The following is a 24,972-nucleotide window of genomic DNA, read 5'->3' on the forward strand; positions in this document are numbered from 1 at the left end:
ATGTCTGTCTGGAGGCAGAAACAAGCATGGCAGTTGGAAGAAGAAGACCAGTGTGGCAGATTTAATTAAAATTGGCCGTCACGTGCCTGTCTCCTCCACTAGACTGCAAGTGTCTGTAGGGTGGGGCTCTGTCTCCTTTATGTCTGAAGTTTATTGTACAAAATCACACTTTAAAACTCTGCTCAGCAGTTAATTCTTTTGGGAAGAATTTGATGTCTTCTCTCCTGCTCTCTGCCCATCCCCACCACAGAAACACACACCTGCATTCATCCTGGGTAGAAATGACTGCTTTCTTTTTGTAATTCAATGCTACTGCCTTCATATATTTTTTCTTAACATGTGGAACATTTTCTCGTATTTGTTTGTTTTTATACCTCTCACTTCTAACAATGTCTTGAGAGTAGGGACTATTTCTGATTCAGTTACATGTTTCAAATGCCTAGTGTAATAAGCTCTTAAGCATGCAATCAAATTTTGTTGCAATGAATGAGACAACGAATATATACTGCCTTATCTCTGCTATGGCTTCTATTTTTGTCTTGGTCAAGGTTTCTTGGAAAACAGAACCTGAGGTTAGGTACCTTAAATGGTAATGTGGTTATTGAGATGTACAATCTCAGGGCCAGGCAAATGGAAGTGATGCCAGGCAGGATGAGAATGAGATGATGTTACACAACTGGCTCTCAACTAGTTGCTTGGCCATATGAGATGTCTCCAGATAGGCTGTTTGGAAAATCCACCCCTAGAGGAGTATTCACCAGAGGCATGATAGAGAGGGAATTTATCTGCTGACTTCCTCTTGCCTCTAGTTTTCTATTATTTATCAATGTATTGATGTTAACTCCCCTGGGTCAACTGGCCCCACGGGTACCCTATGGAGAAGTAAGATCTCTTGCCTGTACTTCATCTGGGACCGAAAGCAATGGGAAGAACTGGAGATTCAGTGTTGGTCTCAGGCAGTTGGTCAACAGGGGCCCACAGGGTCAGTTGTGGCAGTGGCAGCTATGGTGGAACAAATGGCCAAGGACATGAGATTGCAGGCAAATTTGAGCTGCTCTGAGAAAGTGCATAAGAAGTGACTAATAAAATCTGCAAACTTGATTTTCTTCTAAGCTCTTTCTTCTCCACCCATAAAAATATTTAACTTGGCCGGACACAGTGGCTCATGCCTGTAATCCCAGCACTTTGGGAGGCCAAGGCAGGTGGATCACCTGAGGTCAGGAGTTCAAGGCCACCCAGACTAACATAGAGAAACCCCGTCTCTACTAAAAATACAAAATTAGACAGGCGTGGTGACCCATGCCTGTAATCCCAGCTACTTGGGAGGCTGAGGCAGAAGAATCACTTGAACCCAGGAGGCGAAGGTTGTGGTGAGTCGAGATGGCACCATTGCACTCCAGCCTGAGCAACAAGAGCAAGACTTCGTATCAAAAAAAAAAAAAAAAAAATAGACCAGTTACGGTGGCTTACACCCATTATCTCAGCACTTTGGGAGGCTGAGGCAGGAGGATCACTTGGGCCTAGGAGTTCTAGATCAGCCTGGGCAACATAGGGAAACCTTGTCTCTACAGAAAGTAAAAAAATTAGCTGGGCATGGTGGTATGCACCTGTGGTCCCAGCTACTCCTGAGGCTGAGGTGGGAGAAATGCTTGAGCCCAAGAGGTCAAAGCTGTAGTGAGCTATGATTGCACCACTGTACTCCATCCTGGGTGACAGAGCAAGACCCTGTTTCTTCAAAATATTAAATAAATACATACATAAATGCATATATAAAATGAAAACAAGAAACAAACTTCTGTGACCCCAAATTCCCTTTTAATTTCCTCTTAGTTCCCTCTCTCCTTTCTACCAAAACTTTTGTTCCATGTGTCTATGCCTCACCCTTGACACACCATGGAGGGCCAGCCCCCTTTAGGGTTTTACATCTGCTGTGCTCTTATATGGCTCCCATCTCTTTGGTCTTGCTGTCATCTGCGCCTAGAGTGATCTTTTCTACTTTTTTATGTCTTTGTAACTCGGACCAAATGTCATCTATGCCACTTGCTGACCCTTTTCCCAGCTTAGTCTGAATGTCACGCCCCTCCTTACTTAAAATGGCATCCTGCCCTTCCCTGAATCATAATACTTATCACATTGGTTTAATATGGTATGTTTTATACATCCTTCCAAAAATATTGTGAGACCGAATTCTCTCACTTTTAGATTCATCTTTGTGTATTGATTTTTGGTTCAATGTCTTGTCCACAGTAAGTAGTAAATACATGTTAGCTAAGCAAAACTATACTAGTTAAGACTAATAGAATAGGCGACTGACCAGAAGATCTTATTTAATTTTAACCTGGAAAAAAAGGCCAGAAAATAATACATAAAATTTCACCTTATAATTAATAAACTCTTGATTTAATTGTGATTTAAAATTATATTATGAAAATATGTTAAAGTGATGATTATCTGTGATAGAGTCTTCAAGATGGCCATGATCAATTATTTCCTTTCCTTTGTGACTTTGTTTCTTTTCCATCAAGAGGTTGTGTTTATTCCCTTCCCCTTAATTTCAGAATTCAGGCTGGGTTTATAACTTGTCTTGGTTAACAGAATGTGAAAGAAATACCTGAAAGGAGGTGAAAAGCTTCCACTTTCTCTTTTGAGGCATTCAGCTGCAATATGAGTAGTGTATCTTCCCAATATCACCATGTGGTATTGTGAGAATGACTAATCTAGTCGTGTGAAGAGAAAGAGGTCACATTAAAAAACAAACAAAACAAAACAAAACAAACAAACAAAAACCCTGACTTGTGACCTGACATGAAGCTTTTTGAACTTTTCCGCCCAGGTCTGCAGCCAAGTAAAATGCACCCAAATGAGTAATCCCAGCCAGTGCCACCTGGAACAGAACAACCTCTCAGCTCAGCTCATCTAACCTACAGAACCATGAAAAAATAATAGATCATTGTTCTAATCTACAAGGTTTAGGGTGATTTGTTGAATATTGATAGATAATGGAAATACCCATATTTAGCTTGGCATTTCCTTTAAAAATGAGTCTTAACTTTATGACTTAGTACCAAAATGGTTGGCTTCTGATAATGACCCTAGAATTGATTACAGTCAAGCCTGATCATTCAGTTTACAAGAGTCCACCAAGTGTTTCTGTGAAAGTAGAACATTATAGAATGCATTATAAGATGGGCACAACAGAATTGTGTGCATTGCTTTGTGGCCATATGCACACAGTAGACTCTTATTAGTGGAATGATGAGTACATAAGAAACATGAGAAAAATAATAGCTGGTGGGGAAGACTCTAAGTAAAGGAAAACCCTTGACATCATTAGGAGTAAACTTGCTGTATTAGGGTTCTCCAGAGAGACAGACCAATAGGAGATATATATATATGAGAGAGGCGATTTTTTTAGGGAAATTGGCTTACAGTATTATGGAGACTGAGAAGTCTCATGATAGACAATAGGCTGTCTGCAAGCTGGAGAACCAGGGAAGCCAGTTGCCTTACTGTCCAAGGCTGAAAGCCTTAGAAACAGGGAAGCCTGTGGTGTAACTCCATTTGTGGATGAAAGCCACAGAGTCCAAAGACCAGAGAACCTGGAGTTTTAATATCCAGGGGCAGGAGAAAAAGGGTGTCCCAGATCCAAGAAAGAGTAAACAAATTTGCCTTTTCTCTGCGTCTTTGTTCATCTGCATGCTTCACTAATTGAATGGTGCACACCCACATTAAGGGGGGATTTTCCTCACTAAGTGTACAGACTCACATGCCAATCTCCTAGGGAAATACTCTCAAAGACACATCTAGAAATCATGTTGTACCAGTTTTCTTGGTATCCCCTAATCCAGTCAAGTTGACACCTTGCTTACTTGCAATCATGCAACTTTCTAACAATATGTTGAAAATAATGTTAGTAATAACAATAACAATAAAAAAGCACATTTTATTGAGTTCTTATATATGTCTAGAAAATAGTATCTCATTTAATACTCAGAATAACCATATGAGACAGTTGCTATAATTATAGCTACTTCACAGTTAATTAAACTGAAATATAGAGAAATTGAGTAACTTGTACCAAGCCACATGACAAGTGGTAGAGTCTGGCTGAAAGCAGATTGTCTGATACTAGACCCCTCAATTGTTAACTGCTGGTTATACTAATATATAATGTCTGTTAGCATAATCACCTATTATATATATGTATATAAATGTGCAATATTCATAATTCTACTGTGTGTGTGTGTGAGTGTGTGTGTGTGTGTGTGTGTGTGTGTGTGTGTGTGTATTATGCTTTTCTTTAAGCAACAAATGCTGCCATGACAAGATGTTTTGGAATACCAAGGTCCTCTATATTTCAATGTCGAAGGTAGTACATAGCTTTGGTAAATGACTTCCCTTTACTGATAGCCTGACTGTACCTACTTTCCCCTTCCTTCTATCCCTTATTTGGATGTTGTAACTGGAATTACCTTCTCCAGTCCTCCTTGCTGCTCATTGAACAGCTCATGAACCAACTGGGCTATGTATATCCATTATTAAAGAACAAGAACCTGATGTTAGGACAGAATAAAGGTATTTGAGTATAATATGTAATCTATTATTTTCTCATTACTTCTACCTCAACTGTTATTCCTTAGTTCTCCAAATAGGAGAAAATAATTTTTACCTCTTTTGAAATCACAAGCGGGGTTGTAGAAGTGATTTTAAACATTCAGGCACATACTCCCATACACACATAACAAACCCTATTCCACCCATCAGCTTAATGTTCTTGGCAATTTATTTAACTCACACTGTGGGCAACCACTGCCAGCTTCAATTGGCTTGCTGCCTTTATTGATGTTTTCAGGACCCAAGACCTTTTTATTCATGTTTCCCATTAATCTCAGATGCTTTACAACATTTCTAAAGACAGGAAAACATATTGGGTCAAATTTACAGCTATCTTTGAACTCAGTAGTTGAATCTGCTAAGTCAAACCCAGGTTTCAGCCAGCAAAGTAGCTTTGAAATGCTAGTTTGAAAAAGACTCAAAAAGCTTTCTTAGGTGTCAGTTCCTCCTGGGAGAAAAGAGACAGGAATCGCATTTTAATGATTCAAGTCTAGGTATATCACAAGTGCAGCCTGTTTATTTTATTTTTAGTGGAGTGAGAAGAATCACCTATTGAAGATGCTTTCTTATATCCACATATTTATTTTATTTTTAGTGGAGTGAGAAGAATCACCTATTGAAGAATCTTTCTTAAATTCACATATTTAGTCTGTTTTTTTAAAAAGTTTAAACCCATCACACACTACAGAGGCAAGATATTTTTATAAATCACATGCTTTCATCTTACATGATATCTTAGTAATACAGTAATTCTTTAATATAAGGCTTACAAATATTTTAAAAAACTTTTCAGCATAATTCTTTTGAGAATAGGGCTAGTATTGGTCACAACTATAAAACATGGCATTTATTTTTGGTTCCCTGTCATCTTTCTTCCAGTCCTTTGTATTACCCACCAGGTATACCTACCTTGGGGCCCATCTATCAGTGCTTCAGCTCTCAGCAATAACCTATTACTTTTAAAATAAAGGGTGTTTTCTCTGGGCAAAATTAAGAAGTTAGTCAGCCCTCCTTTGATCTTTATGACACTTTTCAACATTTCCCACCCCTGCTTACTTTCTCTTCCTTCAGGTGTTAGAAAATCTTTTTAAAATATCCCCTCTCACTCCATCAGATAGGGGAATTAACAGCAATATTTATTATTTTATTACCTAATCATAAGCTAAAACAAATATCTTTTAACCAAATATATATCAAAATTTGTACTTTAAGTTCAATTTCTGAGTTTTAATGGTGGCAATGTTAGGTTTCAGCCTCCTTTAAATATACTTTTGAGTATGAGAATATGTGTGGGGGTATGTCTCAAAGATAAGGAACCCCTGGAGTTGCATGTTTAATCCAAAGGTAGACTTGCAAGTATTACTGACTTCAGAATGAAGCAGTGTAGTGGGGAAGGGAAAATCTCCTAATGCCTTCCCAAGGAGGACAAGCAAGTGCAGGTCCAGCCAAGGCTTCTTACCTAGGTTTCCCTTGCATTTGGAAGATGTATCAGCCAGAGGTCAGCTGCAGATAAATTAGTAAAACCAGCCTAGCAATTTTAAGAAGAAATGGCTTAAATATAGGGAAATATACAATTATAAAATAGTTGGAAGTACTGAAGGACAGGCTCTGGGATGGCCTCTGTAATTCTACCACAGACCAGGCCCTCCAGGGATGCTGCCAACTGTCACCATTAGAAAGGTGGGTGATTGGGCCGGGCGCGGTGGCTCACGCCTGTAATCCCAGCACTTTGGGAGGCCGAGACGGGCGGATCACGAGGTCAGGAGATCGAGACCATCCTGGCTAACACGGTGAAACCCCGTCTCTACTAAAAATACAAAAATTAGCCGGGCATGGTGGCGCGCGCCTGTAGTCCCAGCTACACGGGAGGCTGAGGCAGGAGAATGGCGTGAACCCGGGAGGCGGAGCTTGCAGTGAGTCGAGATCGCGCCACTGCACTCCAGCCTGGGCGACAGAGCGAAACTCCGTCTCAAAAAAAAAAAAAAAAAAAAAAAGGTGGGTGATTGGAAAACAGCCACTTCCCGGTTGTCTTAGATGAAATTCCAAGATCAGGAAACTGCTGCACTATTTCATTAGAACTGCATCAGCTGACATTGAATTCCTAGAAGCCATGGCTTCCCTCTCAATCTCAATTCACATTCAAATAAATGATTTTTCTTTAATGACAAATGACTGTCAGAACCTAAGTCACTTTCAGAGGTGTAGCTGCAAGGGAGTCTTGAAAATGCAGATTTTTAGCTGTCTGGGCCTTATAGTACAGAAAAAGGTGAGAAAAGATGCCAAAAGGAGTCAATCCTGACATATTTTTTAAAAATGCAAGTGCTTGAGTCATTTTTATGACCCCTGATCAAAACAGTTACACATTGCAAAAAAAGGCATTGCCTAGATAAACAAAATATTCTTGAATCATTTGCTCTAAACTAGGATATTATTTCTAGGCCTTTACTCTATTTACTTGGAACACTTTTTCTGTCTGTATTATTGATGATGGCAATTAGATATGAATATCTAATATGTTTGTCATAAGGAAAGATATTAATTGTGTTAATAAGATTCAGTAATGATATAATTTAATGCCATTTGTTTCTCATAGTTAAGTTCTAGATTTCAAAAAATTTTTCTATTAAAAGATTGATAATTCTCAATTCTGCAAGGAAGGGAGAACAACATAAACTGATTTTTTATTAAACCCGAGAACCATTTAGGAATAAATGATTGATATGTTGAATTGTCTCCTGCAAATAGGTGAAGATACCTGAAAAATAAAACATGGTATCTTTCATTCTTACTGAGGTGATTAAATGAGAACAAGTATGGCTATCTGAATTATCCCTGTGAACTTTAATAAGCTACTCTATCTATTAGGGAATCTGAACTGAAGACTATGCAGGCATACAAAGGCTCCTAAGTTCAGTACAATTAAGGGGGAAGAAGAGGGAACACATTATTATTATAATAAAAAAGTAAAAGTGCAATTTACCCCAGTAAAAAAAAAGGCACTACAAAAACCTGAAAATAGTAGAGGAAAAGTGCTTTTAAAATTTTTCAATTATCAATAACAATTGAAAGATAATATAAAATTCATTAATTATATAGCTGAAAATATATACTAATAAGAGAATAATTACACTATACTTTAGTGGAACTGAGCAAAATGTAAATATTATAAAGAAACAAACATAAAATATATATTTAAACTTCAGTACACAATATGATGCTATTGTAGCATTTTTCCATTTGTCGAAGGCAATGATAAAAGTGAAAACTGGGCTGGGTGCTGTGGCTCACACCTGTAATCCCAGCACTTTGGAAGGCCAAGGCTGGCAGATCACCTGAGGTCAGGAGTTCGAGACCAGCCTGACCAACATGGAGAAACTCCATCTCAACTATAAAAAAATACAAAAGTTAGCCGGGCGTGGTGGTGCATGCCTGTAATCCCAGCTACTACGGAGGCTGAGGCAGGAGAATTGCTTCAACCCGGGAAGTGGAGGTTGTGGTAAGCCAAGATTGCGCCATTACACTCCAGCCTGGGCAACAAGGGTGAAACTCTGTCTCAAAAAAAAAGTGAAAACTGAAGTGAAAGTAGTAATATGTAGGAAATTTTATGATTTTCCAAATGTGTATAATGGATTTTCATGGTGAACTGTGTTTTGTATTCAAACACAAGAATTTTTAAAACTCAGACAAAAATGGATTAATTCTTAAGTGTCTCAGGGGAACTTAACTGGAAATTTTGTGTATCTTATTTATTGAAATGCTATAAAATAGGCAAACACATTTAATTGGGATTCAGGCGGTTTAAGCACAGTTCAGTATTACACAGATAAATAATGGACCTGTACAAAATTGAACTGGTGCTTTAAAATCCACGATCATGCCTGTAATCTGAACACCTTGGGAGGCCAAGGCAGGAAAATGGCTTTAACCTAGCAGTTTGAGGCTGCAGTGAGCTATGATTGCGCCACTTCACTCCAGCCTGAGTGACAGAGCAAGAACCTCTCCCTAAAAGAAAAAAATAAAATCCATGATATTTCTTTTTTTTCTTTATGTTTTATTTTATTTATTATTATTATACTTTAAGTTTTAGGGTACGTGTGCACAATGTGCAGGTTAGTTACATATGTATACATGTGCCATGCTGGTGCACTGCACCCATTAACTCGTCATCTAGCATTAGGTATATCTCCCAATGCCATCCCTCCCCCCTGCCCCCACCCCACAACAGTACCCAGAGTGTGATGTTCCCCTTCCTGTGTCCATGTGTTCTCATTGTTCAATTCCCACCTATGAGTGAGAATATGTGGCGTTTGGTTTTTTGTTCTTGCGATAGTTTACTGAGAATGATGATTTCCAATTTCATCCATGTCCCTACAAAGGACATGAACTCATCATTTTTTATGGCTGCATAGTATTCCATGGTGTATATGTGCCACATTTTCTTAATCCAGTCTATCATTGTTGGACATTTGGGTTGGTTCCAAGTCTTTGCTATTGTGAATAATGCCGCAATAAATATACGTGTGCATGTGTCTTTATAGCAGCATGATTTATAGTCCTTTGGGTATATACCCAGTAATGGGATGGCTGGGTCAAATGGCATTTCTAGTTCTAGATCCCTGAGGAATCGCCACACTGACTTCCACAATGGTTGAACTAGTTTACAGTCCCACCAACAGTGTAAAAGTGTTCCTATTTCTCCACATCCTCTCCAGCACCTGTTGTTTCCTGGCTTTTTAATGATTGCCATTCTAACTGGTGTGAGATGGTATCTCATTGTGGTTTTGATTTGCATTTCTCTGATGGCCATTGATGGTGAGCATTTTTTCATGTGTTTTTTGGCTGGATAAATGTCTTATTTTGAGAAGTGTCTGTTCATGTCCTTTGCACACTTTTTGATGGGGTTGTTTGATTTTTCTTGTAAATTTGTTTGAGTTCATTGTAGATTCTTGATATTAGCCCTTTGTCAGATGAGTAGGTTGTGAAAATGTTCTCCCATTCTGTAGGTTGCCTGTTCACTCTGATGGTAGTTTCTTTTGCTGTGCAGAAGCTCTTTAGTTTAATTAGATCCCATTTGTCAATTTTGGCTTTTGTTGCCATTCCTTTTGGTGTTTTAGACATGAAGTCCTTGCCCATGCCTATGTCCTGAATGGTAATGCCTAGGTTTTCTTCTAGGGTTTTTATGGTTTTAGGTTGAATGTTTAAGTCTTTAATCCATCTTGAATTGATTTTTATACAAGGTGTAAGGAAGGGATCCAGTTTCAGCTTTCTACATATGGCGAGCCAGTTCTCCCAGCACCATTTATTAAATATGGAATCCCTTTTGCATTGCTTGTTTTTCTCAGGTTTGTCAAAGATCAGATAGTCATAGATATGCGGCATTATTTCTGAGGGCTCTGTTCTGTTCCATTGATCTATATCTTTGTTTTGGTACCAGTACCACACTGTTTTGGTTACTGTAGCCTTGTAGTATAGTTTGAAGTCAGGTAGCATGATGCCTCCAGCTTTGTCCTTTTGGCTTAGGATTGACTTGGCAATGCGGGCTCTTTTTTGGTTCCATATGAACTTTAAAGTAGTTTTTTCCAGTTCTGGGAAGAAAGTCTTTGGTAGTTTGATGGGGATGGCATTGAATCTGTAAATTACCTTGGGCAGTATGGCCATTTTCATGATGTTGATTCTTCCTACCCATGAGCATGGAATGTTCTTCCATTTGTTTGTATCCTCTTTTATTTCCTTGAGCAGTGGTTTGTAGTTCTCCTTAAAGAGGTCCTTCACATCCCTTGTAAGTTGGATTCCTAGGTATTTTATTCTCTTTGAAGCAATTGTGAATGGGAGTTCACTCATGATTTGGCTTTCTGTTTGTCTGTTGTTGGTGTATAAGAATGCTTTTGATTTTTGTACATTGATTTTGTATCCTGAGACTTTGCTGAAGTTGCTTATCAGCTTAAGGAGATTTTGGGCTGAGACAATGGGGTTTTCTAGATATACAATCATGTCGTCTGCAAACAGGGACAATTTGACTTCCTCTTTTCCTAATTGAATACCCTTTGTTTTCTTCTCCTGCCTAATTGCCCTGGCTAGAACTTCCAACACTATGTTGAATAGGAGTGGTGAGAGAGAGCATCCCTGTCTTGTGCCAGTTTTCAAAGGGAATGCTTCCAGTTTTTGCCCATTCAGTATGATATTGGCTGTGGGTTTGTCATAGATAGCTCTTATTATTTTGAGATACGTCCCATCAATACCTAATTTATTGAGAGTTTTTAGCATGAAGGGCTGTTGAATTTTGTCAAAGGCCTTTTCTGCATCTATTGAGATAATCATGAATATTAGACACATCAACGAGACAGAAAGTCAACAAGGATACCCAGGAATTGAACTCAGCTCTGCACCAAGCGGACCTAATAGACATCTACAGAACTCCCCACCCCAAATCAACAGAATATACATTTTTTTCAGCACCACACCACACCTATTCCAAAATTGACCACATACTTGGAAGTAAAGCTCTCCTCAGCAAATGTAAAAGAACAGAAATTATAACAAACTATCTCTCAGACCACAGTGCAATCAAACTAGAACTGAGGATTAAGAATCTCACTCAAAACCGCTCAACTACATGGAAACTGAACAACCTGCTCCTGAATGACTACTGGGTACATAACGAAATGAAGGCAGAAATAAAGATGTTCTTTGAAACCAATGAGAACAAAGACACCACATACCAGAATCTCTGGGACACATTCAAAGCAGTGTGTAGAGGGAAATTTATAGCACTAAATGCCCACAAGAGAAAGCAGGAAACATCCAAAATTGACACCCTAATATCACAATTAAAAGAACTAGAAAAGCAAGAGCAAACACATTCAAAAGCTAGCTGAAGGCAAGAAATAACTAAAATCAGAGCAGAACTGAAGGAAATAGAGACACAAAAAACCCTTCAAAAAATTCATGAATCCAGGAGCTGGTTTTTTGAAAGGATCAACAAAATTGATAAACTGCTAGCAAGACTAATAAAGAAAAAAAGAGAGAAGAATCAAATAGACGCAATAAAAAATCATAAAGGAGATATCACCACCGATCCCACAGAAATACAAACTACCATCAGAGAATACTACAAACACCTCTACGCAAATAAACTAGAAAATCTAGAAGAAATGGATAAATTCCTCGACACATACACTCTCCCAAGACTAAACCAGGAAGAAGTTGAATCTCTGAATAGACCAATAACAGGCTCTGAAATTGTGGCAATAATCAATAGCTTACCAACCAAAAAGAGTCCAGGACCAGATGGATTCACAGCCGAATTCTACCAGAGGTACAAGGAGGAACTGGTACCATTCCATCTGAAACTATTCCAATCAATAGAAAAAGAGGGAATCCTCGCTAACTCATTTTATGAGGCCAGCATCGTCCTGATACTAAAGCTGGGCAGAGACACAACCAAAAAAGAGAATTTTAGACCAATATCCTTGATGAACATTGATGCAAAAATCCTAAATAAAATACTGGCAAACCAAATCCAGCAGCACATCAAAAAGCTTATCCACTGTGAGCAAGTGGGCTTCATCCCTGGGATGCAAGGCTGGTTCAATATATGCAAATCAATAAATGTAATCCAGCATATAAACAGAACCAAAGACAAATCCATGATATTTCTATCATGCTTCTTGTACTCTCTTCTCGGAGGAATTGCTTTGCATTTTGGCTAATGAAATCATGTCCCCTCTTTACTTTCTCTCAAGTCTATCTCTTTTACTGCTTTCCCAGACAGATCAGTTTTAGCTTACCATAGCAACCTCTGGGACTTGACCCAGTCTTTGCAGACCTGTCAGATCAGTGTTCTCTCTTGAGCAAATTCCTTAAGTGACTCTTTCCTATCACATTAGATCTAACTTGCTCTTTTTGAATTCTCTAATAGGGATATGTTTAAATTAGTTGAATTAATTTTTGCTGCTCTTTCTGAATGCACTTCTGTGAGTCTAATGAGTCTAGGCTTCTTTAATTTAAATAAAACTATAATGCTTATTCCAGCATCTATACCTTTATTTACAATTATCCCTTTGATCAAAATATCTGTCTGTCATTTATTCAGTTACCAAATCCTCAACACTTCTGGAGATCCTAGGCCAAACTTTTCTTATCTATCAATGAGTTCTCTGACCACTAGGTCTATTTTAATCCACCCGCTCCCTCACTTCTTTACTCTCTTGTTGCATTTAGAATAATTCTGTCTTATATTGTTTGCTGTTAAGTTCATGTGTTTTAATCAATTGTCCTGCAAAAAGCTGTAAACTCCTTGAAAACATGGGCTGTGCTTTCATCTTCTTAATTAAAAGCAATAACTAGCTCATAGGTCACTTTCCAGGAGTTTTCAATATTATGCTTTAGCTCTAATAAAATCTTTATAAGAGAATATAAATGACCTAGAAATGTTAATAAAATATACACCACTTAAAAAGTATGTTGATTAAAGTGAAATTTTAGAAATATGAATTAAAAATAAGTAATAAAGACAAACATCACAATGAGCTTTACCTTAAAAACATCATCTGAGGTAGTACAGGAAATTATACAGAGAATATTTGAAAAAAAAAATATATATATATATATATAATATATATATATATATATATATATTTTTTTTTTTTTTTTTTTTTTTTTTTTGAGGCAGAGTCTCCCTCTGTCACCCAGGCTGGAGTGCAGTGGCACGATCTCAGCTCACTGAAACCTCCACCTCCCAGGTTCAAGTGATTCTCATGCCTCAGCCTCCTGAGTAGCTGGGATTACAGGTGTGTGCCACTAGGGAAAATAGAATTTTAAAAAGCAAAATGACTAATCAAGTCTGTGTAGATACTGACTGATAAGTAGAAAGTAGAACATTTCTCACTCTCTCTCAGCATTAGAACCCTGAGATCAACATTAGCCAAGTCATGAATTTGTAGGTATATGTAGAATTAGAAAGAAGCAATTTGGAAACAACTGTTAAATAATTGATTGATTTATATTAAAAGAGATGAAATCTGTAATACATATCTATCTGAAGGTATTATAATTTGAATTCCAGTCCCTCTTATTTTAGGGGTTAAATGGATATTAAGGGAGTGTGAACCAGTGGTTAAAATCTCTTTGGGACTTAGAAGTATCTGAGATAAAATCCTGTCTCTTCTATTAATTAAGGTGTGATTGTGGCCTAGTTACTTAGCTTCCCCACCCAGTTTCAGTCTTTATAAAATAAGCATAATAATAGTGTCTACCTCATAGAGTGAGTAGAAGATTAAATGTGATACAGAATTTATAGCGGGGAAAAATTCTTGGCATATGAAAGTATTAAATACATGTTTGCTGTTATTGCTATTATTATTTTCATAAAATATATTATCTTTTACATTCACTCAGAACCAGAGCCAATATTTCTATAAACTGTATTGTTTTGGAATTAAATGAAAAGTTGTGTGATAATATGTTACTCGTTTCAATACATAAGGAATTTATACTTCTTCCTTACAAAAATAGAGGTTTTGAGAATATTCCTCATTATTTCAGAGGTGAAACAACAGAATATGACAGAAAATACTGAAAAATACTATTGTAAAAAAGATGCGGTTAAATCATCATTGGCCATTGCAAGTAAAATTTTGGGATTAAGTATACTGTTAAATTAGTCAATATGTACATTTTAACTGAAATAAATAATTAGCTTAGATAATACTTCTAACTTAAGATAACTCATTATTCTCATTTGAACTTAAAATTCTTCCACTGGTGGTAATTTGAAATGGGCTATAATCCCATTGGTACCTTTTTTATGACAAGGGTTTTGGATCCTCCTGTCAGAATTCAACTCAGATTTAAAACCAGACTCTGGTCTCACTTTCTCCATTAGATAACACCAAAGATTGCCCTATTTCCCTTTAGAATTTATTATTTATATCACATTTTAAAAAATTTGGTAATTTGAGGCCTTGTCTTGCAACTTACTACCTCATGGATATATGTCTTAACAACTCAATTTTAATTTTATAGAGGATAGATTACTCAGTATTCTCATCTGTAAAACAGATATAATAAGGGTGTCTGCCTGATGAGAATGGTATAGGAATCAAGAGTAAACATAAGTAAAATGCTTAGAAGAGTGTCTGGCATATATTCAAACCTATTTGTTAAATAAAAACTAGATTTCTTTTGCATTTTTTTAATCACCTATACTATGCTATTTTTGACAATGAAAACAAAATTGTACTTGAAATAATCATGAAGAAATTGGCCATTTGGGATAATAATGTACTTTTATGCTGAAGGCTGCTTTTAACTAATACAAATGCATCCAATATAGATAAATTAGTAAAATCTTAATGAGATAAATAAATCAGTTTGCCTTTGTAAAACTTTAAATGTATCTAAATTTAGTGACTTAATTTAGTGACTTTTCCAATTAATTTGTTGTCTACACCATCTTCTAAATATACTACTTAAATTCCTGTTCCCATGTCTTAACTTTTGCAGTTATGCCCAAATACCTTATGCTTCCGCTCCTCTAGTCCTCATTCTACTCATGCTTCAGTACATCAGCGTCACAGACCACTCTGCCAGGCAATATTAGGTTCACGATGAAAAGGGAGAAGAAGAAATGTTGGCAGATTCCCGCGATACTCAGAAAACAGTATAAAAAGGACCAAGTGGTTTGAAACAGGATTTAAGATGCAAGAGATTACAAAGAAGCCTTCCTTGTAGATTGAATGTTAGCGTCAATTACTGATATAAACATCTTTGGAGGAGACCTCGTTTGAGCAAAGTTAATGACTTCTGTTCTGGATGTGTACAATTTAAAGGGCCTATAATATGTTTTACCCATGCATCCTCAACAAGGATGATATTGCCACCAAAGGGGGTAAAAATTGGTTGCTGGGGAGTAAAAAAAATCTTACTTTTTATGCACAAAGTATAGAAAGGCATATAGTACATAAACATTTATGCTACTGCATATTTATCAAAATTTCATGGAGGGCAATTAGGAAAATATTGTCTATAACACTTATGGGAAGCACAGATAATGTGAAGAAGTATGAAGTTATTCAAGAAGTATGGAATTTATGTGAGAATATGTGTGGGAGATCATATGTGTGTATGTATGCACATACACATATACATCTAAAGGAAGTCAGTGTACACACAGGAATTGAAGCCCCATGCATAGAAGAGTTTACCAGGGTCAGTAAATTCCAACTCACATTAAGAACATTAGGAGAGGTTTAAAAATCTTTCTGGACCGCACCCTGTGGAAATTCAATTTTTAAAGCTTCCCGAGTTAAGTCTAAAGTGTAGGTAGAGTTAAAAGCCACTTGAAGGCAGGCATGGTGGCTCATGCCTGTCATGCCAGCACTTTGAGAGGCTGAGGCAGGCGGATTGCTTGAGCTCAGAAGTTAGAGACCAGCCTGGGAAACATGGTGAAACCCCGTTTCTCCAAAAAATACAAAAATTAGTCGGGTGTAGTGGCAGACACCTGTATTCCGAGCTATGCAGGAGACTGAGGCAGGAGAATTGCTTGAGCCCAGGAGGTGGAGATTGCAGTGAGCCAAGATCGTGCCACTGCACTCTAGCCTCTACCCTGGGCTACACAGCGAGACTGTCTTAAAAAAGAAAAAAAAAAACCACTTATCTGGGGAGAGGAGTAATTAACGAATAAAAGTTGTTCTGTGACAGTCTTATGGAATTAGTTCCCAGAGCAACTGATATGAAAGATAATTTGGAACTTCAGAAAATATGGTGTTTTGCTAGCAGAGTCAAGGGAAAATTTGCTATAAAGAGGCTGAGTTGTGCAGTTTGTAATCTGAATTGTACAGAATCTGCAGTTCATAATCAGTTTCAGCTTTTGCTGAGAATTTGAAGAATGCCATAAAAATATTTACTGGATTTAACAAAATGGAGTTCATTGGTTTTGGCAAAGCAGATGACAAGTTGAAAACAGATTACAGTAGAAATAGTTTATTCTATATAGATTATCTAATTTCTATTTTTTCCCAAAAACACCGTGGTTATAATCTTTTGTCTAACATCTGTTGGATTGTCATTTTCTTACTGATACATAACAATGTCTTGTAATTTAAACATTACTGAATTTATTACATATTTTAAAGTCTTTATAAAAATTGCTTTGTTGTCTTAATTTTATTTTTAATTTAATGTTCTTTTGGTTTTGTCATTTCAAAGTTTAAAATATTATGCAGTAGAATTTACCAATCTGATACAGTAAACTAAGGGAAGACACTGGGCAGGAGCAATTTATACACAATGAGACAAACCAAGGAAGAAAATTTTAATTAAATTTTTCTTATGTGTAATTGAGGATATTGATTAAAAATTGATGACTTTCCATTTTCAATATGGTGATTATTAATTTTGCTTCTTTTGTCTTCCTTTCATGTATGAATATTTGTACTGTTCTAACATCTATTACCTTAATTTAATGGCTAGTGAACATTATTTTAATGGAAAATTCTTTAAACGTTAAGGCATTTAGTGAGGTAGATAATAGAAGCAAATAAACACTATTTAAGATTTATATTATTATCTAACCATTGCACAAAAGGCATCTCATAACTCTAACTCATAGTAAAATGAGTATATTGATCTCTCCATTTCCCAAATAGTGTTTTAAAGATAAAATGAATAATATGTCTTCATCATTATTAAATTATTGTGGAGATATTTAAAATTATGATAGAAGGTTTAGGATTCTTAATGGACTATAGGTTATTTATAAAAATAAATGAATGGATTGCATTTAGAAAGAATATTTATAAAGCTAATTTTCATACAACTTTATTTTGCCATCCAAATAATATTTTTTGGACAATTGAAACCTAGATCTCTGAAAAAGAATTTCAGTCTGTACTCATAAAAATACTATGAGATTATATTGCTGAGTTAGCACCATGAGAACAGTGTTTCTGCAAATTTTTTCTTCTAGGTGCCCACCCCACAGCAGATTCTTCACCAATATTTGTTAGAATTTAAATTTAGCCCAATTCTTTAAATAAGAATGCAGAGATTTCATGGTCTAAGAATAGAACAATCAGCACTCTTTGTGTTCTATTTTACTGCTTCATAAATAAAGTTCTTCAGTCCAAGACATCTGAACATGTATCAGAATATTCACTAATTATTGTGAACATATTTTAAAATGGCTTAGGCTACAGATTCTTTCCTTACAAATCCATCCCATTGTTTGGGGAATCCAATTGTAGGGTGCTTCATATCAGGACAAAAAAAATAAATTAGTAAACTTGTTTCTTTTTCTAAAAACGTCATAATAGATTTGCAATTTTCCATTATATATTTATTCAGCTTATTTTTGGAAGATGTTGGTCTTGTTAAGATATCACTGAGAATACTACATTACTATGTACAACTTATATTCTGGGAACTGTAAGTAACATTTAGCTGCTTACCCCAAATGGCCAAGTAAATGAACAACTGTTATGTCTTATCTTAGAAATAAAGGTTCACATAATCATCTTTCAGTGCAGAGTATTAACATTTGTTTGAGAAGAGCTCTTCAGTAGAAAATATAGCTAATATAGACACTATTATTCTCAATAAAACCAAAACAAAGCTGTAACTCTGAGTCTGTTCTCTTTCACCCCATTGCCTCTGTAGGAGAAAACATAACGAAAGCTCCAGTGCTCAGCACCAGCTCATGAGCACATTTGCCTCACTTAGTGTTTAAGATTGTATGCAGAAGGGCTTCATTTTTAGAATTAACAATGGTGCAATTCTTCATTAAAACATGTATGCCTAAAGAACATGAGCAGACACTTTTCAAAAGAAGACATACAAATGGCCAATAATATATTAAAAAATGCTCAACGTCAGTAATCATCAGAGAAATGCAAATTAAAACCACAATGAAATACCATTTCACACCAGTTAGAATTGCTATTATTAAAAAGTAAAAACTTACAGTTATTGGTGAGGCTGCAGAGAAAAGGGGACGCTTATACACTGATGGTGGGAATGTAAATTAGTTTAGCCACTGTGGAAAGCAGTTTGGAGATTTCTCAAAGAACTTAAAACAGAGCTTCCATTTGACCCAGCAATCTCATTAGTGGGTGTATACCCAAAAGAAAATAAATTGTTCTACGAAGAAACAACATGCACTTGTATGTTGGTTGCAGTACTATTCACAATAACAAAGACAAGAAATCAACCCAGGTGCCCATCAGTGGTTGACTGGATAAAGAAAATGTGGCAAATATGCGCCATGGAAAAGAATGAGATCATGTCATTTGTGGCAACACGAGTGCAGCTAGACCATAAGTCTAAGTGAATTAATGCAGGAATGGAAAAACAAATACTGAATTTTCTTGCTTACAAGTGGGAGCTAAACATTTAGCATTACACACGGACATAAAAGTGGGAACAGTAGATACTGGGGGGACTATTACAGCGGGGAAGGAGGAAGGGGACAAGGGTTGAAAAATTACCTATTGAGTACTATGCACCTGGGTCACAGGATCACTCATATCTCAAACCTCAGTGTCATGTAATACCCCCATGTAACAAATCTGCACATGTACCCCCTGAATCTAAAATGAAAATTGAAATTAAAAAATGTCTTCCAAATAATTTTTTAAATGACTATGCTTTCTACAAAAATAGAAGAAAAAAATTTTAAAAAAATTCCCTCTGGGTTAAACATGGTAGAGAATTGTCACACAAAAGAAGCATTTGCCAGCCATCATTTGCAAATTTCAAGATGTCTAGGAATCTCATAAGGAAATTGTTTAAAATGATTATTTACAGCCTCCACTGCCAGAGATTTTGATCTCATCAGGTTGGGATCCAGGGAACTCCAGAGACTGCATGCATCACATTTTGACAAACAGTGAAAAAGAATCCTTTTTTTCTTTGTCTTCCACGTGTTTAAAATTAGGCAGAGAGTTGGTGTTTCCTCTTTGTGCATACAACTAGACTAGATTTACCAGACATTGTTACATAAGGCATGGCCATATAACTGAGCTGTAGACAATGGAAAGTGAGTGGAAGGCAATTATTGGTCCTGACTCATAAAACCTTACTCAACACACTTGTCCAAGCTCTTTTCCCCTTTCAGCCTAGCTTAAGTGGAGGTGACCACTATGGTGGCATTGAAAGTCAACAAAATGTATAGGAGCAAACATCTTCTAAGTTAGCAGTTCTCCTCAACTTCAGCACAGACACAAATCAAATCATATGCTTGTTAAACCCACAGATTATAAAATTCTACCACCAAAGATTTTGATTTGATAGGTCTAGAAGAAATGCACAGGAATCCGTATTTTAAAAATCATGAGGCAATTCCGATTTGTGTGATTCTGGTTCTATAAGTTGAGAAGCACTGAATGTGTGTATGTGTGTATGTGTGTGTTTAAGTAATAGTGTAGTTAATGCTAGTGTTGGTTACTAATTATATGTCACTTATCAAACTACATCTATTTCTGCATCTTTTTATATATTTATTTTAGAAGACAATAACATTATAGGTTACAGAAAAAACTGGATCTCCAGAAATCACATTATAGATTACAGAAAAAGAAAATTGGATCTCAAGAAATCATCTAGTTTAATGGAGATCCTAATGAAGGCAGATGTCTAATCTCACTTTTTCTCAAACTAAATAATACCAGCTACTTCAACTCTTCCCTTAGGGTATTATTTTATATGTCTATAATGATTTTATCTTTTTTTTTTCTGAGCACTCTCCATATTCTTTACCTCCTTAAAAAATAAGGAGAGCAAAGTAAATATATTGATAAATGTTATTAATGCAGAGTATTACACAAAAATAATTTATAGGCTTTACATAAGTAGCCATTATTTATATTATATGTATTTTAAATACAGAGGATATTATTTAATTTCCTTAATGTATTGGAGACTTTAAAATGAAAAGTACATGTATCTTGTTCATTTTTATATGTCTGACTTACATTGGTTATCTTTTGCTTCTCATATATTTATTTTGCTTTATATCTATATATCTATTTATCATCTGTATCTATCTATCTTCTATCTATCTAATTTTGGCGTTTTATCTTAAAGTTTAAAAAAATCTATGGCACTATATACACCTATATGACCTTGATTCTCCTCCAGTGGTTTCCTATTTGTATGTTGAGGAGCTATTATATTTTAGACAAGAAGCTTGGCATTTTATATAAATTTCATATTTCAAATAGCAATTTATATTGCCTATTATATGACAGATGGAGAAATGAGATTGATATGTAATAACTTACTTGCCCAATATCATTTACCTAGTAAATTGCATTGTAATTTAACATGTTTTCATGCTCTTTTGTCTTAAAAAAATTAAAGCTTATGAGAAAAATTTTTATAATGAACATCCTTATATAGATAATTTTTATTTCATTATGAAATGAATTTTAACCAGAATTATGTTGTCTTTGAGTGGAAGTCACCATAATGGCAGTCTACAATTATGTTTATTAGTCTCGTCCATTGAATCAAGGTGCACATATTTCCCTTCTAGAAGGCTACTAATAATAATTTTCTCTCAATGCTTTTCCACTTTGAGCTTAAGGTGCTCCCGAATAAATTACTACACTAAATCCTGCCATCAACCAATGCAAAAGAGGAAGCATTTCAATGCATATATAATTTGTATCCCTACTTGAAATGCAGCATTAGATTTCTAGTCACCTCATATTGGATTATTCTTATTTTTGGGTAAAATTCAGTTTATGTACTAAAGATTCCATCACCAAAGTGAAAATAGTTGGGCATTATATTACATTATCTGCTACCTTCCTCAGAGCAGGAATTTTTATTTTGCATAAAAATGTCCTTTGTTTTTCCCTGAGTATTGAAATGTTCATGGTTTAGAGTCCAAATCTCTAAATGAGATCACTAGCTTGTATTTACTATGCTAATTTATCTTTTCTCATAGAACAATACCGGGTTTTCTCTGTGACTGCTGCTTTTCAGTGACGTATTGATCTGATTTTGGCTAAACAATACAATATTGCTAAAATCTGGCTAAGAAGAGGACCATATCAGATAATTCAGTAGAACTGTATATCATTTTCTATTAGAGAATTTATGTTTTCCCCTTGAATAGTCTATTTTTCCTAAGTTTGGACCATATTAAATATGCAGATGTACAAAGAACAACTATAAGCAATTACAACATACTAGATATGAAAAATGTTTTGATAAAAAGTCTATTAGGAATTATATCTCCTTTCTGCATCTTTCAGAAATTAGTTTTTTACTTTTCATAAGTTTTACTTTTCATAGTTTTCTTAAGATTACTTAAAGAGAATATCTTCTTGTCATTGTGAAATCGATAAAATATAAAAGCCATCTTATATGCGTCTGTTTAAACCTGCTGAAACATTATAATGAAATTGAAAATCACCATACATTGTGTGCAATAAAATAATGCATTATTAGTTATATTAGCACTCAGATCATTAAGAAAATAAAATGTTCTTTATCAAATTTTCAAGTCAACCTTTTGCTCTGAAATTTATCACTGCAGAAAATATTTAAATGGGAAGTCTGAATTTAATGCTTTTGTATCTATCTGTTCTTTTCAGGAATTTGAGGCATTTTGTTAGTTTTCCATTAACCACAAATATATATCTTACATTTCACCATAAGATATGAACATAATTTAGGAGACGAATTAGTTCAAAACAATGGACCATATTTATAGGATCATTAATGCAAATAAAGGAGCAGTTGTACATTTATTCCAAAATTTTATCTGAAATTTGGGAGGTTTTGTGGTGATGGTAGATGGATTAGGGATGATACTCTTCCTATACAGATTTCTTGCTCTGCATGGATGTATATTTGTAGGTGTGGGTAGGTGTTGATGTCTACTTGACAGTGGAGGGTGGGAGGAGAGGAGCAGAAAAGATAACTATTGTGTATTGGGCTTAATACCTGGGTGATGAAGTAATCTTTACAACAAACCCCTGTGACATGAGTTTACCTATGTAACGAACCTTCACCTGTTGTTTAAAAACATATTTTTGCATTAAATTCAGACTTCCCATTTAAATATTTTCTGCAGTGATAAATTTCAGAGCAAAAGGTTGACTTGAAATTTGATAAAGAACATTTTATTTTCTTAATGATCTGAGTGCTAATATAACTAATAATGCATTATTTTATTGCACACAATGTATGGTGATTTTCAATTTCATTATAATGTTTCAGCAGGTTTAAACAGACGCATATAAGATGGCTTTTATATTTTATCGATTTCACAATGACAAGAAGATATTCTCTTTAAGTAATCTTAAGAAAACTATGAAAAGTAAAACTTATGAAAAGTAAAAAACTAATTTCTGAAAGATGCAGAAAGGAGATATAATTCCTAATAGACTTTTTATCAAAACATTTTTCATATCTAGTATATTGTAATTGCTTATAGTTGTTCTTTGTACATCTGCATATTTAATATGGTCCAAACTTAGGAAAAATAGACTATTCAAGGGGAAAAACATAAATTCTCTAATAGAAAATGATATACAGTTCTACTGAATTATCTGATATGGTCCTCTTCTTAGCCAGATTTTAGCTCAATATCACTGATCATTAAGGAAATGCAAATCAAAACCACAATGATACTGTCTCACACCTGTCAGAATGGCTACTATAAAAAGTCAAAAAATAGCAGATGCTGACAAGATTGCGGAGACAAGGGAACTCTTCCCTGTAATAGGCAGCACCATCATTAAATCATTTCTTTAGAAAACAAAAATGCATTTTTTTCATGTTTGTGATGTTTGTTGGCCATTTGTATGTCTTCTTTTGAGAAGTGTCTGTTTAAGTCCTCTGCCCACTTTTTAATGGGGTTGTTTTTCTCTTGTAAATTTGTTTAAGTTCCATATAGATGCTGGATATTAGACCTTTGTCGGATGCATACTTTGCAAATATTTTCTCCAAGTCTGTAGGTTGTCTGTTTTTATAGTTTGGGGTTTTACATTTAAGTCTTTAATCCATCTTGAGTTCATTTTTGTATATGGTGTAATGAAGGGATCCAGCTTTAATCTTCTGCATATGGCTAGCCAGTTACCCCAGCACCATTTATTGAACAGGGAGTCTTTTCCCTATTCCTTGTTCTTGCTAGCTTTGTCAAAGATCAGCTGGTCATAGGTGTGCAGCCTTATTTCTGAGCTCTCTATTCTGTTCCACTGTAAACCACTTTTTAAAAAATAATGAGCCCTTTCCATATATTCTAATTGTGAATCTTGATCATAATTATATTATGCCCAGCTTATGTTTTACAAAGTGTTAAAATAAGCTCTGCATGAGTTCATTGTAAAAAAAAAAAAAGTGCAGATTTGTATTTACCCCATGCATATCTTTGTACACTTTCTGCTCATTACTACGATCCTACCCAGTCTCCACAAACACACACAGATGTGGCTTTGATATTAAGTTTTACATTTGCTTATATATGTATATTCTTTAAAAAACACAGGAATGTATATATATATCTGAGAATTGCTATTTCAAAAATATATGTATTACTGAAAATTTCAGTGCTAGTAATACATATTGTCACTTTTTTACTGGCTCTATAGTTGCAGTTATATAAATCTATTATATTTTACTTTAATATGTTCCTATAGATGGACATCATTATGCCCAAATGATAATTTTAAAAATTTAGTTTTATGGGCTGGGCATGGTGGCTCACGCCTGTAATCCCAGCGCTTTGGGTGGCTGAAGTGGGCAGATCACGAGGTCAGGACTTCGAGACCAGTCTGGCCAACATGGCGAAACCCCATCTCTATGAAAAGTATAAAAAATTAGCCAGGCGTGGTGGGGGGTGCCTGTAATCCTGGCTACTTGGGAGGTTGAGGCAAGAGAATCACTTGAACCTGGGATGCAGAGGTTGCAGTGAGCCGAGACCATGGCACCGCACTCCAGCCTGGGCGACAGAGGGAGAGTCTGCCTCAAAAATATATATATATTAGTTTTATGATCATCTATTAATACAATTAGTTATCATCACCAATGATTTACGTATTTATGATACTTTTACAGTTGGTCTTCTATGTTTACAGACACCGTATCCATAATTTAGCTCTGAAAGATGATTAATGCCAGAAACTGTAGAGCAATTAACACACCTGAAACATTTTATCACAAGTAGAAAAAAAAGACTGATTGCCTATCAGACAATATTGAAAAATTGATATTTTTATTACTATAACTGTTTGAATGTTTTACAATGAAAAAATTTCATTATTTTGATCATGCTACTCTGTTTTACTTAAGCATTTTAGTATTTTAAAGAGGTAGGATTGTAATCCCTGACCCTGTTTTTTGTTTTTC

General features: G+C 35.5%; 1 protein-coding gene across 1 annotated transcript in view; it reads left to right on the forward strand.

The window, feature by feature from the left end:
• ZNF804B (zinc finger protein 804B) overlaps positions 1-24,972 on the forward strand; it is a 578,829-nt gene that overhangs the window by 104,100 nt on the left and 449,757 nt on the right. The gene's annotated exons all lie outside the window — the stretch shown is intronic.

Source organism: Homo sapiens, chromosome 7 (assembly GCF_000001405.40).
Source record: "Homo sapiens chromosome 7, GRCh38.p14 Primary Assembly".
Lineage (NCBI taxonomy): Eukaryota > Metazoa > Chordata > Mammalia > Primates > Hominidae > Homo > Homo sapiens.